Source organism: Homo sapiens, chromosome X, assembly GCF_000001405.40.
Source record: "Homo sapiens chromosome X, GRCh38.p14 Primary Assembly".
Classification (NCBI taxonomy): domain Eukaryota; kingdom Metazoa; phylum Chordata; class Mammalia; order Primates; family Hominidae; genus Homo; species Homo sapiens.
This window is the reverse complement of record NC_000023.11, coordinates 53,290,477-53,307,163: the sequence shown is the minus strand read 5'-3', so window position 1 is coordinate 53,307,163 and position 16,687 is coordinate 53,290,477. Positions and strand designations below refer to the sequence as shown.

Genomic DNA, 16,687 nt, shown 5'->3' with positions numbered 1-16,687 from the left:
TCCCCAAAGGCCAGAATGAATAGCACTTTATTTTGGGGGCACCAACATGCCACTAGGTGTCTTGACTCATCCTAGATAGTTTAATTCCTTTAGCAAGCAGCCCTCTGATACTTTGCCTACGGGTGAATGCCAGGCGGCCTGTGTTCTAGGTCTGGGGGTTGGGGTGGCAGGGAAGGAAGGATGTCATATACTTACCTTCCATTTATCCCTGTGTCCAGTGCCGTGGTTCCTCCTACCCTCTCTTGCAGCTACCATCTCCAAGTCTGGAGTCTCTCTGGGCCTCTGCTGGCCTGACTGTCTCCCTCCTCAGCTGCAAGCCCCTAAGTGGTGTTCCTGGATCTTCCTCAACTGTGAACACCCTGCTGTTTGTTTTTTTGCTTCCAGAAATTTGTTGAAATCTCTCACCCACTGATCTCACCCTCTCCCATCCTCCTCCCTGTTATGAGTTCATACTTTATTTTATTCCTTCACTTTCATTATGGTGGGGTCCTGGGAGAGAGAGGAGATAAACATTTATGCCCTTGAGGTGGAAACTAAGGCGAAAGCTACTTTAAAAAATGGTTGTTTTGCTTTTTCAACCCAGACTGAAACTGGAAACTATTAGTAGGCCCCCCACATAGCCAAGCCTGGATGACCTCATTTGGGGTCATCCAAGCTGTGTTGCTTCTGGCCCCAGCCCTTATCATAAGCATTCCTCCATTGGCCTCCAGAGCACCCCTTTCCTCAACCTCTGCTGCCTAGACCATGGAGTCAAGCGAGCCCTCAGCCGAGGAACCGGACACCTGGGTTCTGATCCCAGCCCTGCCCCTGCCTCCCTCTGGACCCCTGGGCCAGCCCCTCCACCTCTCTGGGTGCCCTCTCTGTGGCTTGAGAGGCTCTCCGTCTGCTGTAAGCTGGGCTTTGCCGGGATTGGCTGGGTGCTTGGAGGGCAGCCCAGCCTCTTTGTCCAGGCGGTGGGAGCAAGTGGGCCAGAGATGGGCCCCAAGCACTCGGGGGGGCTTGGAGGCTGAGCTGAGGCTTCTGCAACAGCAGGCTGTGCTAGCTGCTCCCCCTTCCGCCCACTCTTTCCCATCATGGCTGAACCTCTATCTCTCTGCCTCCAGCAGAGAGAGGAGAGAAGGCAGGGCTAGAGAGCTAGTTCTGTTTTCCTTTGCTTCTTCTCTCTCTCTGTCATTGTAGTACCCAGCTGATCTGTGCTACAATACCTGTGCCTAACCGCACCTTCCTTTTTTGGTGTTCCCCCTTTCCGTCCTTGAATGATTGTCTCTTCTAGAAGCGCTCCTTGAGTGTTCATGGGGTGGGGGGCTTTGGGCTGCACTGTGTGGTGGGGAGACAGGAGACAGATGAGGGAGAGGGGCCAAGCTTGCAGGCTGGAATGGGAGATGAAGTGCCACTTGGCTCTGGGATGACAGAAGGAAGCAGCAGCTGTAGCAGTTAAAAGCATTGGTTTTGGAATCAGACAAACCTAGACTTGAATCTCGGCTCTACTACTTATTAGCTGTGTGAGTCTGGGTAAGTCACATTGCTCCTCCGTACCTCAGTGACTGCATCCATACAATGAGAAGAACTACTTTGCACAACAGTTATGAAGACTGTGCAAAGTAGTAGGTACAACTGTGGACCACTGTAGGTGCAACTAAATAGTAACTTTATGGCTGGGCATGGTGGCTCATGTCTGTACTCCCAGCACTTTGGGAGGCCAAGGCAGGATTGCTTGAGGCCAGGAGTTTGAGACCAGCCTGGGCAACATAGCAAGACCCCATCTCTACAAAAAATGAAAAAATTAGCTGGGCGTGGTGGTGTATGCCTGTAGTCTTAGCTACTCGGGAGACTGAGAGCAGAAGATTACTTGAGCCCAGAAGTTCAAGGATGTAGTGAGCTATGATCATGCCACGGCACTCCAGCCTGGGTGACAGAATGAGACCCTGTCTAAAAAAATAAATAAGGCCGGGCGTGGTGGGTCACACTTGTAATCCTAGCACTTTGGGAGGCTGAGGCAGGTGGATCACTTGAGGCCAGGAGTTCGAGACCAGCCTGGCCAATATGGTGATACTCCATCTCTACTAAAAATACAAAAATTAGCTGGATGTGGTGGTGCACACCTGTAATCCCAGCTACTCGGGAGGCTGGGGCACGAGAATCACTTGAACCTGGGAGACAGAAGTTGCAGTGAGCCGAGATTGCACCACTGTACTCCAGCCTGGGTGACAGAGTGAGACTCTGTCTCAAAAAATAAAAAATAAGAAAAATAAATAGTAACTTTATGATTATTTGGATTATTATAAGGCAGAATATGCTAAGGCCCAAATAAAGTCTGCTTATTACTTTATTATGATTATATAACATATAGTATTTGCTTATGATTGAAAGGAGCATGAGGTTAGGGAAGGTATTCTCTAAGGAGGCAGCTTTTGACCTCATCACTCCTTGGATCAAGCCTCCCAGGGGCTCCCTGGCAACTACAGAATGAGGTTCACGCTGTGCTGCCTGGTATTCAAGGCTCTCTTGGTTGTAATCTCTGCCTTTCTTCTCTTCAAAATGTAAATGTGAAGTGATACTTTTCTCTTTACTTCCTGAAAAAGACATTTGAAAAGTGATAGACAAATATTTCATTTGAGGTATATAGCAGTCTTCCTCATCATTGTCATCATCATCAACATCATTTTTATCATCCCAGAACCTGTACAGTGAGTTGTGTTAAACAAGGACTATAGGAACAATAATCACCAGCAAAAGGATAGCCAGCAACTGAAACCATCATGGCCTTCATTTTGTCCTTTACCGCCATCTTTGCCTTCAGGATTGTTTGGCTCCATTACTAAAAGTGATTCCAGTATCCAACAAGCTTTCTGATTTGTCCTATGGTTCTATTTCTTCTTTTTAAATAATCTTCATGAGACTTTCTTGCATAACACCATTACCTCATCCACCTGTTCGCTATACTTTTTGTCATTTCTAGGTCTGATTCTTGGCTTCCTTAGAAAAGAGTCTTCCTCTCTACCTGAATCATCTTCCTTTTTTTTTTTTTTGAGACAGAGTCTCACTCTGTTGCCCAGGCTGGAGTGCAGTGGTGCAATCTCGGCTCACTGCAACCTCCACCTCCCGGATTCAAACAATTCTCTGCCTTAGCCTCCCAAGTAGCTGGGATTACAGGCACCGCGCCCACCACCACGCCCAGCTAATTTTTTTGTATTTTTAGTAGAGACGGGGTTTCACCATCTTGGCCAGGCTGGTCTTGAACTCCTAACCTTGTGATCCACCCGCCTCAGCCTCCCAAAATGCTGGGATTGCAGGCGTGAGCCACTGCGCCTGGCTACCTGAATCATCTTTCAAAAGGTTTTCACTTTCACTTTTTTTTTTTTTTAGATGGAGTTTCGCTCTTTCACCCAGGCCGGAGTCAAGTGGCACGATCTGGGCTCACTGCAACCTCTGCCCCCCAGGTTCAAGCGATTCTCCTGCCTCAGCCTCCTGAATAGCTGGGATTATAGGCGCCCACCATCATGCCTGGCTAATTTTTGTATTTGTAGTAGAGATGGGGTTTTACCATGTTGGCCAGGCTGGTCTCCAACCCCTGACCTCAGGCAATTCACCCGCCTTGGCCTCCCAAAGAGCTGGGATTACAGATGTGAACCACCACGCCCGGCCTACTTTTACTTTTTACATTGTCATGATTTAGGTGTCACTTGAACTTGGGAATCATCTTTACCTCCCCCTAGTGCTTTTCTCCTTCCTCGCTGTCACAAGTAGGTCTTCACGCCACTTGTGGTTTAGGGAAGTGCTTGCATGCTCCTTTGGGTAAGGCTACAGCTCCACTCATTCCTCAAGTCACTCTGTTTCCTTCCTAACCCTACACTCAAGTTGTACTGAACTATGTAGAGTTTGCTAAGCATGTCAGGCTTCTTTATGCTTCCATGACTTTATTCTGGCTGTTCCTATGGCTAAATGCCCTTTTTTTTTTTTTTTGACAGAGTCTCACTGTGTCTCCCAGGCTGGAGTGCAATGGTGTGATCACGGCTCACTGCAGCCTCTACCTCCTGGGCTCAAGTGATCCTCCCACTCCAGCCTCCCAAGTAGCTGGGACCACAGGCATAGGCCACCACACCTGGCTAATTTTTTGGTTGTTTGTAGGGACAGGGTCTCCCTGTGTTGTCCAGGCTTGTCTCAAACTCTTGGGCTGAGGCAGTCTTCCCATCTCAGCCTCCTGAGTAGCTGGGACTATAGGCACACACCATCATGCCCACCTAATTTTTGTATTTTTGTAGAGACAGAGTTTTGCTATGTTGCCCAGGCTGGTCTCGACCTGGGCTCAAGCAATCCTCTCACTTTAACCTCCCGAGTAGCTGGGACTATAGGCACACACTAAAATGCCTGGCTAATTTTTATTTCATTGTAGAGACGGGATCTCCCTGTGATCCCCAGGCTGGTCTCAAACTCCTGGGCTCAAGCGGTCCTCCCGCCTTGGCTTCCTAAAGTGCTGGGATTATAGGCATGAGCCGCCGTGCCTGGCCCCAAATGCCTTTTTACCCTTGTCTACATGGCAGATAACCAGTTAACTTTTTTTTTTGACATAGGGTTGTGCTCTGTTGCCCAGGCTAGAGTGCAGTGGCATGATCATAGCTCGCTGAAGCCTCAAATTCCTGGGCTCAAGTGATCCTCCTGCCTCAGCCTCCCTAGTAGCTGAGGGAGGCCTAGAAACTTATTTCTCTCTGGTGCCACCACGCCTGGCTAACTATTCAAATTTGAAGAACATCTAAGTACCTCACACTGTTCAAGGCACTTGGAAACAGTGAGCAAAATAGACAAAACCTCTGCCCTGTGGAGCTGAGATTCTAGTGTATGGATGTCTGGGATGGGTGTGGAAAAGAAACAAATAAACAAGAAGACACATAATATGTCAAGTAGTGGTAAGTGCTATGGGGAAAATAAAGCTGCATGAGCCTGGGGATTGCAGAAGGCCCAGTCAGCTCCACCACAGCCAGTGTTTGCACAACCATTATTAAGCAGCATTTTCTCATTTAAGCATTTTCCAATGTTATCACATATTCTTTATAACCATAATCCTCCCAACAACCGTATCATATTAGTGCTATTATTATCTCCATTACATTGATGAAGAAACTGAAACTTAGGGTCATAAATCGCATAGCTGGAAGAGGCAGAGCTGAGACCCAAATCCAGGCCTGTCTGACCTAAAGCCTGGACTCATAACTACTGTCATTCTACAAACCTCAACACAATTCTCTGAAGTCAGAATTATTATGCCTATTTTATAGTTGGGGAAACTAAGTTCAGAGAGGAGAATGGATTCATCCATGGGTTGCACAGCAAATGAATGGATTTGAACCCAGATCTGTGAAGGCTAGGGCCTTCTACAAACCCTGAGGCCTAAGGCTCTATAGACTTGCCTGCCTCTACATTTCTAGGGCCCAAGCAAGTTACCAGTTGAAGCCCTTGGCCCTCCACACTTCTCTTCCCTCCCATAGTTCATATGGAGCCTTGAGATATGTGGATACCCCAGCCAACACCTCCAAGCCCTGTCTATCTCCCCTTCCCCTTAGGCCGCTCCTTGGTCCTAACAGATGGACCTGGGTAATAAGACCATGCAATTCCTGAAAGTAAGCCCAAGAAATTTAGGCAGGAAATTCTGAGGTCCTTGGTGCTTGAAGTGCAGCCTAGAAGGGACAGGGCCAAAGATCCTTATGGGTCCTGATGGCATTACAGACCTTTTGCCTGATGGAGAGTGGCCCCTAAAATGTGGGCCCCAGTGTAGGGCCTTCTGTTTATCAGTACAACCCATAAGATTGTGATTCGTAATAGGCTGGCCTCCAAGATCCTCCTCCTTTGGCTTCCTGAGCTAGGTCCTGCTTTGCAGGGAAGGGAGCAGGGGGTGTTCTGTGGGCCTGGGCCTTCAGAGGCTGTGGCCGGTGAAGAATAGAGCTTTCCCAGCAAGCCCTGGTGGACATGTGCACTGATTCTTATGCCCCCCGCCTCACAGTATTTTGTTCCCAGTACTCTCAGGCTACTTAACCAATTTAATTTCTTAGTAGCGTTTAAAAAATTATACTTTCAATGCATTTTTAAATTAGGAAATTTAGAAAAACTAGGAAAAGTAGAGGAGAAAAACATTACACATAATTACAGCACCCAGAGGCAGCCACTCTGAGCATCTGGTGTATTTGCCCTTGTTCTCTGCATTTTTTTCATGTAGTTGAAATGATTTTACACATACAATTTTTGTTCTTGATTTTTCCATTTGAGCATTTCCCATGTCATTGCATATTCTTCATAACCATCATTTTTAGTGGCAACTGATATACCACGATGGACTTAACCATCCTCTTAATGTAGGGTGTAGAAGCTGTGCTCATTTTTTTCACTGGTTTAAATCATGCTGCGATAGGCTTCCTTGCACACACAGCATCAAAGGAACTTACAGCTTTTAGGGAATTGACCTTATATAGGGACAATTGTATTCAGCTTATTTCCCTTTCTAGATGGTCCCTCTAGCTGGGTCCAATTCGTTTATTTAGTCATTCATTTATTCATTAATTTCGTCACCACATATTTACTCCATACGCCTGGAAGCCAGACTCTGAGATCTGGGGGTCCAAGCAGGAATGAGACAGAGCGCCTGACTACCAGGAGCTCCCAGTCGCTGGGAGAGTCAGCCATGGAAATAGACAATTTCAGAACAGTTTGATCAGGGCTGTGATGGAGTCAAGAAAAGGATACTGTGGGAGAACAGAGGAGGGGCTCCTAACCCAGCCTAGGGATGTTAAGATACGCTTCCTGGAGGAGGTGGTGCCTAAATGGGTCATGGAGGATGAATAGGAGTTGGCTGGAATAAGAAAGGGAGCTTCCTGTTAAACACAATGAGTTGGATAAACTTATTTCTCTCTGTTGCTTTCCCAAATCTCATTAAAATATGAAAAAAGGAGTAAAAAAGGTAGAAACACATAAGGTCTGGGATGCTGACCAGAAGTAAACTATTCTACTTAGAGAATCCCAGCAGTGCTCAGGATTGAGAGGTACTGAAGGTACATCCTCAGAAGGCAGGATGAAGTATGGACCTGAGAATGGGAATGTTGAAAGTCTTTTCTGTCCGGGCACAGTGGTTCATGACTGTAATTCCCCCCCCAACTTTGGGAGGCTGAGGTGGGAGGATTGCTTGAGCTCAGGAGTTTGAGACCAGCCTGGGCAACATAGTAAAACCCTGTCTCAAACAAACAAACAAACAAACAAAAGATTGGCTAGGTGTGGTGGCATGTACCTGTGGTTCTAGCTACTCAGGAGGCTGAGGTGGGAGGATCGCTTGATGAGCCCAGGAGGTCAAGGCTGTGAGCGATGCTCACACCACTGCCTCCTAGTCTGGGCAGCAGAGAGAGACCTTGTCTTAAAAAAAAAAAGTCTTGTCTTTTTGGTCCTTCCCCAACCCCATCCAGACAGTGAGTCCCCCACTCCCAGCTGCATCCCTGCAGATGGAGGTTGCTTCTTTGGAGAAACTGAAGTTAAGAGGCTTTGACTTGAAGTCACCAAGTACAGTGGAGGATGGGGTGAAACAGGCCTGCAGGCAAAGGGATCTGCAGCCTAAAACAGTGGAACCCCAACTTCCTTCCACTTAAAACAGTGGGACTCCAACCTCCTTCAACTCCCCCACTTCTAGGACACCAAAGTCAGGTACACAGATGAGATCAAAGGATTGTTCTCTGGGGAAACTGAAAGGCCCCAGAAAAAAAGGCCTCCAAAAGCCGACATTTGGAAGTCTTCTAACAAAAGAACAGCCTTTCAGCCCAGTAATTTGATAGTGAAGCCCACCACCTGGCAAGCCCCACCTGCACACAGAGTTTCCAAGCAGCTTGGTAGTGTCATGGGAACTAATCTAGGAACACCAGCCAAGAACCCTTAAGATTAGGTATATTTTATTTTAATGTAAACTAAACCTCAGTACACTGGGCCAGGCATGGTGGCCTATGCCTGTAATCCCAGCATTTTGAGGGGGCTGAGGTGGGAGGATCACTTAAGCCCAGGAGTCTGAGACCAGCCTGGGCAACATAGCAAGACCTTGTCTCTAAACTAAAAAAAAAAAGAGAGAGAGAGAAAGAAAGAAAAGAAATAAACCTCAGCATATGTTTTTAAAAACCCCAAGCTCTTGGTAGCCAGAGATAATCAGATAGTCCAAGGCTATTTGAGGAAAACCATCAACTTGGAAGACTGATTGAAAAAGCAAACAAACAAACAAACATAAAAAAGGAACTTGGAAGGTAATGAAGGGAGGAGAAGAAACCTGGGAAATTAAAAATAGTGAGAGCTAAAATAAAAATTTCAGCAGAAGGATTAGAAAATAAAAGGTGAGGAGGTATCCTAGGAAGCAGAATAACAAGACAAAGGGACAACAGAAGAGAAAAGATGAGAAAATTGGAGGATCAATTGAGGAACTCCAACAGCCAACAATAGGAGTTCCAGAAATAGAGAATGGAGGGAACAGCAGGAAGGAAATTCTCAAAGACATAATACAAGAACATTTCCTAGAACTGAAGGAGTGAAAACTCCTGCTGAGTACCCAGCAAGATAAATGATAAAAAGACCCATGCCAAGATATGCCGCTGTGACATTTCAGAATACCAGGGATTAAAGGGAAGATCCTAAAAGCTTCCAGAGAAAAAACATCATATGCAAAGAATCAAGAAAAGGAATTACGTTGGACTTATCAACAGCAACACTGGAAGCTAGGATATGATGGAGCAGTGTTCTCAATATTCTGAGGGAAAAGAATTTCCAACCTAGAAGTCTATACTCAGTTGAATGGTCACTCAGGTATGAGGGTATATAAGATCTAAAGGTTTTAAGTCCTATGCCTCCTTTCTCAGGAAGCCCTGGGGAATGTGCTCCAGCAAAATATGAGCATAAACTCTAAAAAAAAAAAGAAAGGAAAAAAAAAGCCACGGAATCTAGGAAACAGGAAGTTCAACGCAAAGGAGAGGTGAAAGGAATTCCTAGATGATGGAAAAGAGAGAGGTTCTTTTTTCTTTTTTTTGAGACGGAGTCTCGCTGTGTCGCCCGGTCTGGAGTGCAGTGGCGCGATCTTAGCTCACTGCAACCTCCGCCTCCCAGGTTCAAGCTATTCTTCAGCTTCAGCCTCCCGAGTAGCTGGGATTACAGGTGTTCGCCACTGCGTCCGGCTAATTTTTGTATTTTTAGTACAGACAGGGTTTCACCATGTTGGCCAGGCTGATCTCAAATCCCTGACCTCAGTTGATCTGCCCACCTCGGCCTCCCAAAATGTTGGGATTACAGGCATGAGCCACCACGCCTGGCCTGAGAGAGAGGTTGTTAGGGCAACATCTGGGCAGGCCTAGAGAGCAGCCAGCCTAGATTGCAGCAGGAAGGTGGGTGTTTTTAAGGGAAACAAAGAGTCCGATGGATTACCTGATATGTCAAAGCATATTGAGAGGAGAATTGCGCTTCTGACAGTTTGGGGAGAATTGATCATTTGTATGAAGAGAACTAAGCCGACAAAAAAATAATGGACAGTAATCAGGCTGGGCACGGTGGCTCATGCCTGTAATCCCAGCACTTTGGGAGGCTGAGGTAGGTGAATCTCTTGAGCCCAGGAGTTTGAGACCAGTCTGGGCAACATGGCGAAACCCCATCTCTACAAAAAATACAAAAATTCACCAGGTGTGGTGGTGCATGCCTGTAGTCCCATCTACTCAGGAGGCTGAGGTGGGAGGATCACTTGAGCCCAGGAAGTTGAGGCTGCAGTGAGCTGTGATTGTGTTACTGCAGCCTGGGTAATAGGATGAGGACCTGTCTCAAAAAAGAAAAAATATAGACAGTAAACAATAGCAGGGAAAATAAAAAGTTGTATGGGAAAGGAAATGTAATCATAGTATGTCATATGATTTATCCATTATTAGTATCCATGCAGTCATAATAACGTAGACCACCAGCCTAGGCAACATGATGAAACCCCATCTCTACAAAAAATGTAAAAATTAGCCAGGCATGATGGTACATGCCTGTAATACCAGCTACTCAGGAGGCTGAGGTGGGAGATACTGCTTGACCCCAGGAGGCAGAGGTTGCAGTGAGCTGAGATTGTGCCACCGCACTCCATCCTGGGTGACAGAGCGAGACCTTATCTCAAAAAAAAAAAAATGTAGACCACCAATGTTGATTTAACCCAAACTTTGTGATATAACTCTGATGGTAGAATGAGAGGAGGGCACAGTTGTTCAGTTGCAGGACACTTGGAGTGAATGGAAGTGGTCACTGCACAGTCGTGTGTAAAAACAGCATTTAGGCTGGGTACGGTGGCTCACAGCAGTAATCCCAGCACTTTGGGAGGCTGAAGTGGGCAGATCACTTGAGGTCAGGAGTTCGAGACCAGCCTGGCCAACATGGTGAAGCCCTGTCTTTACAAAACAATATGAAAATTAGCTGGGCATGGTGGCACATGCCTGTAATCCCAACTACTCAGGAGGCTGAGGCAAGAGAATCGCTTGAACCCGGGAGGCAGAGGTCGCAGTGAGCCAAGATCATGCCATTGCACTCCAGCCTGGGCGACAGAGTGAGGCTCCGTCTCAAACAAACAAAAAAAAAGTTCCTTTAGCAGACAGTGTGAGAAAGGAGCTGACATTTGCGGTTAGGTGTAAGGTGATATTCAGGAGAGAAAATGAAAGGCTGATTCGGGGCCGGTTCTCAGCTTTTGGAGAGACCCGCATGATTTCTGGGCCAGGGTACCTGTCTCTTTTTCCTTAGGACGCTCCTGGGAGGAGCCCCGTTCATAGTTGCCCTTCAAGTTTCATTCTTCAAAAAATCTACTTCTGGGCCAGGCGCGGTGGCTCACGCCTGTAATCCCAGCACTTTGGGAGGCTGAGGCAGGTGGATTGCCTGAGGTCGGGAGTTCGAGACCAGCCTGACCAACATGGTGAAACCCCATCTCTACTAAAAATACAGAATTAGCCGGGCATGATGGCAGGTGCCTGTAATCCCAGCTACTCAGGAGGCTGAGGCAGGAGAATCGCTTGAACCCAGGAGGCGGAGGTTGCAGTGAGCCAAGATCGCGCCACTGCACTCCAGCCTGGTGACAGAGTGAGACTCTGTCTCAAAAAAAAAAAAAAATCTACTTCTGTTGATGTTCAGTCTCCTTTCTGTAGGAGACATAATCTTTTAGGCATGTTATTCAGATTCTGGCTTGAGGACCAGTCTGTGATCATTCAAGTTACTCCGCATTATCTCATTTCTGATGCATTTTGTATTTATTTAATTAGTTTTGCTTTCAGGGACAAGCTTCTTGATCTAATTTCAGGTTCCTGGGAAGAGGCACCATATTGTTCCCCAGTTACTGCTTATGGGTGGCTTGGAGCATGGCAGGAAATCTAGTCAAGAGGCAAGGGCAGAAACTCCAACACAGCAGCTCCAAGGCCTCCATTCTTTTCAGTCATTCTGCTCTGTCTTCCCCATAAGTCCCCAAAAGGTTCAGGAACTTTCGATATTCTGCCATTTATTCTCTCATCTTCCAGATTGCTTCTTCTTTTTTTTTTTTTTTTTTTTTTTTGAGACGGAGTCTCACTCTGTTGCCCAGGCTGGAGTGCAGTGGTGCAATCTCGGCTCACTGCAAGCTCTGCGTTCTGGGTTCATGCCATTCTCCTGCCTCAGCCTCCCGAGTAGCTGGGACCACAGGCACCCACCACCATGCCCGGCTAATTTTTTGTATTTTTAGTAGAGATGGGGTTTCACCGAGTTAGCCATGATGGTTTCGATCTCCTGACCTTGTGATCTGCCCGCCTCGGCCTCCCAAAGTGCTGGGATTACAGGCGTGAGCCATGGCGCCCGGCCAAATTCTTGTACGTGGAAGAAGCAACATTAAAATCTCTGGTCAGATTACATGCCTGTTTTTGATTCAGAAAATATGGTTACTATCCTCAAAGCTCCAACAAGTTACTATTTATTGGCCATCACTGCTGAGGATGGGAGTTGGCATATCCAAATCTCTTGAGAATCCTGGGGCCTAAGTGGCCTTTCATTAAGACAAGGCTGGCCAGGTGCAGTGGCTCATGCCTGTAATCCCAGCAATTTGGGAGGCTGAGGCAGGTGGATCACTTGAAGTCAGGAGTTCGAGACCAGCCTGGCCAACATGGCGAAACCCTGTCTCTATTAAAAACACAAAAATTAGCCAGGCACAGTGGTGGGCACCTGTAATCCCAGCTACTCAGGAGGCTGAGGCAGGAGAATCGCTTGAACCTGGGAGGCGGAGGTTGCAGTGAACCAAGATAGTGCCATTGCACTCCAGCCTGGGCGACAGAGCAAGACTCTGTCTCTAAATAAACAAACAAACAAATAAATAAATAAATAAATAAAAGGCTGTGGGGAGTAGCAGGAGAAATCGGTCTCCTTTACTGACATGGATTGATGAAGAGGGATCTAGTCCTTGGGTCTATTGCTTCTCCTTGTAGACAGCAGAATCTAGTTGATAAAAGAGATAAACTTTGGGGTTCTGAAGAAATAGAATATTTTAAGGCCTAAAGATTGCTTGGAACTCAACTAACACAGCCCTATCACTTTACAGGTGAAGAACCAAGGTCCAGAGGGAAATGACTTGTCCGAGTTCACACTGCCAATTAGGGAATGAGCCATAAAAGGACCTAGCATTCTTTCTACCAGTCTATACTGCCTCCCAAAAGAATGGTGGCCCAGCTTCATGAACATTGGACAGTGCATGAGCCTCTGAGGAGGTGTAGGATAGCACTGATGATTGTTCTATACATAATGAATAATATGCTAAATGCATAAAGGGTGATGGACCCTGGGGTGAGCTGCACCCCCACATTGAGAGTCATATGATGCTGTGTACCCTCAAGCTAGTAAGAATCAGTCCATAGCGAGAATTGGCGAATTCCCCGCTGCATCATGACTTGGAGCTCTTTTGCTCCCCTTTGCTGCCATCTTGAGGACTGTCACATATCACATAGAAATACTTTTGGAGCAGAGATATATTTCTCATAATCTCTCAGGTGAAAGAGCACTGGAGAGGAAAGGTCTGTTGGTGCCTCTCTGGCTTGATATTGAGGAATGAAGATAAGGGAACTCACCGTCATAGTGCGTACGTGCCCGGCACTGAGCTTCTGGTACAGTGGAGCGTGGTGGTAGGAACATGAGCTTTGGGGTTCACTCTGAGCTTCTCTGCTTGTGTGACCTTGGGCAAGTCATTTTGACCTTTGTGAGTCTCAGTTTCATCATCTTGAAATTGGATGAATAACCCCCACTTTGCAGGATCAAAGGAGATAATGTACAAAAAGAGGCTAACACTATGCCTGGTACATAGTAGGTACTCATAGTTTGTTCACAGTGGTGGTGGGGGTGATTAGATGTGTTGCTTAAACCTTAGGTAGATTGGGACAAGTGGCCAGTCCACGAGCTCCTTGAGAGGTTGTATTCCCAGGGCAGGGCCTGGTAGACAGCAGACTGAATACATGTGTGCTGGGTTTGGGGGTAGGTGGGTGGTGAAGAGATCGGTCTGCCTAGAGCAGAGGGTTAGTGTTAGGGAGAGAGGCTGAGAGGCTTGGCCTCAGTTCTGTAGGCATCTGGGGAGTCATTGAAGTCAGGCCCCTCAGGCCTGGTACCTGAGAATAATTGGGCCAGGCCTCAGAAGCAATCTTGTTGCTGCAGAAGGAGATGGAACATTTTAATAAATGTGATAAGGTGCGCTGTGGCCCTGGTCCTCTGTTCCTTCAGGGGGCTGAGAAGGCTAAGGATTGGTGCTACTGGCATCTGCTGAGCATGTACCATGTGCCAGGCACTGTGCTAGGCTGAGCCTCACAGCCACACCCCATAAAGGGAGTGACTCTCACCGCAGCCCACCCCCAAAGCCCCATTTTACAAGGCAAAGCCCTGACACTCAACATAGTGAAATACCTTCCCTAGGATTCCATGGCTTGTGAATAGTGGAACCGGGAGTGCTGTGGTTGCAGCACCCTGATGCTTGCCTGCCCCACCTCGCCAGCGGGGCCTCCTTTCATTCTTTCAACAAATGCTCCCTTCTGAGGCCCACCTGCTCCTCTCCCTGTGTGTATCTCTGTCATTTAGCGCTTAGCATAGATGGACACTCCCCTCACTAAAGCCACGTCTTGGCTCTCTCAGCTGAGGACAGAGCCTGTGCTGTGTTCATCTCTGTCTCCTTCGCAGCATGAGTGAGGGTGGGAGGCCTGAGGTGAAGATGGAGGAAGATGACAAGGGGGATGTCCGTGTCCCACACGCTCCCACTTTCAAATTCCATGGTCCTCCTCTGCCCCTTCCCTGCACGCAGTGAACACCAGCCCCACTGTCCTGATCCTCCCTCCCGTACACACACACACACGTGCGCGCGCACATACACACACGTGTACACACGTGTGTGCACTCACGTATACACTCTCACACTCTTCTTGGGAAGGCGTGGTGGGAGAGGAAGGGTGTGGTTCAGATTTCACTCATTGCCCGGTTCCCTCAGTGATGTCCCCAACTCCATTCTCTTCTTTCGCCCTTCTTTTGCCTCTAAAGAGGCCTCACAATGAAAACGGCAGACCAGTGTAGTAGAAAGGAGCCCAGCGGCTGACTCATATATCTCCTCAGCCTCGTTCTCTTCATCTGGAAAATAAGCAGGTTGGACCAGGCAGTTGGCAAAGCCCCTTCCATGGTGTTAATAATACCTGGCATTTGCGTACCGGGTTCCAAAGGGCTGAATTATCCCAACAGCCCAGTGAGGATCGGCCTCGTGTCACAAACGGGGAGACTGAGGCTCAGACTCAGAGAGGTGAAGTGACTTGCCCAGGTCATGGGGCTGGTAAGTGGCAGAGCCAATATCTGAACCTAGGTCTTCCTGTGTTTCAAGCTTGGGCTTTGCCCCTGCCCACGGCTGCTGGCTGCCTCGACGAAAGCCACGCTCCTCACTGTGATCCACTAGGCCCCACATGTTTGGTTCCTGGTGCCTCTTTGACCTCACTTCTGACCACTCTTCCCCCTTGCTCACTGCACCCCAGCACCACCGTCTTCCTCTCCATCCCTCCAACTGGCGAGGCACTCTACTGTCTCTCGGCCTTGCACTTGCTATTCTCTTCTCTCCGCATGAAATAACCCTTCCCCTCATTTTTGTGATGTGCATTAGGCCTCAAGGCCCCCCAAAGCCACTCTACCTAGGGCAGAGGGAGAAGAGAGCGTATACTGACCGTTTTGGTTTTTTTTCTCTGTTTCCCTTTCAGATCTGATGGTGAGAATTCCAGAACAGTCAGGTCAGTACCTCCTTTCTTTAGTACTAGTTGGGAGATGGGGCAGGGCCTGGGGTGGGGGCCTCTGGTTTGTAACTGCAGGATCCATGGGCAAGGGGAGGGGCCAACTCAAGGGCGTCTTCCCTGTTGGTATTAGGGGTGGCTATGGAGTGGGGTGAGAGGGCAGTTGGGGGATGTGGCAGCTGTGGGGAGGGGGTTCAAGACTGTTCCTTAGTCTTTCTGACACTAGTTGACTTGGGAGCTTGGCTGAACACCATAGGGGCTCATAGGAGCTGCCCAGATATGAAAGCTGAGAGGTCAGCTCTGGACAAGGACCTTTTCCACCTTCTCCTCCCAGGGTAAGAGGGCATGATCGATGCTGAGCTTCCCTGGTCTAGCGTTCACTTTCCACCCTGAATCTGTGCCAGCCCTGAGTAGTGGGATTTGAATGGACTCTGGATGTAACACATTCTAGACATTAGAACTATACATTATGGCGACAAGGAAAATTTTTTTGTGTGTGCTTGGTAAAAAAAGTTTACAAGCTTCAGTACGTTTTATTTTATTTTATTTTATTTTATTTTTGTTGTTGTTATTGTTGTTACTGACCCATTGGTAGACATAGTAAGTTTTAAAGATGTGCTCAATCTGCCAGTTGGGGAGGCAGGAGTAAAACTTGGGTAAAGGTAAAGACAAGGGACCTTTGTGCATTTCCCAGGCCTTACCCCATCAGAAGCTTCATGAAGGCAGAGGTGTCAAGTATAGGGATTATATAGGAATGATGGGGGTGCTCAGGATAGGACCCACTCAGCCTTAACATCCAGGCTGGGGGCTATGGGATAGGCCACTGAGCTGAGCTGAGCCCAGGCAGCAGAGGCACAGATGGGTACAGTCTTTCCCAGCCACGGCTGCCAGTAGCATAATTGGCACCTTTGTGAAGAATAGAAAAAGATGTCCCTTTCAAGGGCACCCCCTCTGAGTGGCTCCATTGAGCATAGCACGGGTTGGATATCAGCCCCTGTTCATATCCTTTTGGCTGTGACCCTTTGTGAAAGGCACAGCTTGCCTGACTGTATGCAGGAGCCCTGGTCCTGTCATTCAGGCAGTGGATATGGGCTGGGGACAGAGGATGCCAGCATACAGACAAAAGTGTCTAATGAGACACACTCTGTTCTAGCACCCCAGACAGGGGATCTGGGGTAAACACACGGATACCCAGAGCCAAGAATGGGGCTGTGGGATAAACACATGCTGAGGCCAGCTTTAATGCAATCAGTCCCAGTGTCCAGGAAAGGGGTTTGTGACAAGACATAATTAGTCCTAGCATGCAGCCAAGGAGCATGTCATGGGCACAGCTTGTCCTAGCACTTAGGAAGGCACCTGTCTAGCAAAGGGAATAGATCTCAGTGTCCCACCGTGGGTTTGGAGAGAGGCCACCCGAG

At 47.8% G+C, this 16,687-nt stretch overlaps 1 protein-coding gene across 13 annotated transcripts in view; it reads left to right on the top strand.

The window, feature by feature from the left end:
• IQSEC2 (IQ motif and Sec7 domain ArfGEF 2) overlaps positions 1–16,687 on the top strand; it is a 95,538-nt gene that overhangs the window by 14,187 nt on the left and 64,664 nt on the right. For all 13 annotated transcript variants that reach the window (XR_938365.3, XM_047441928.1, XM_006724582.5 and 10 more), the window contains exon 2: positions 15,240–15,269. Coding sequence is in view for 12 of the 13 variants with exons in the window: in XM_047441928.1 (XP_047297884.1) it covers positions 15,240–15,269 (30 nt within the window). In the remaining variant the exon portion in view is untranslated. The remainder of the gene's footprint in view (positions 1–15,239; positions 15,270–16,687) is intronic.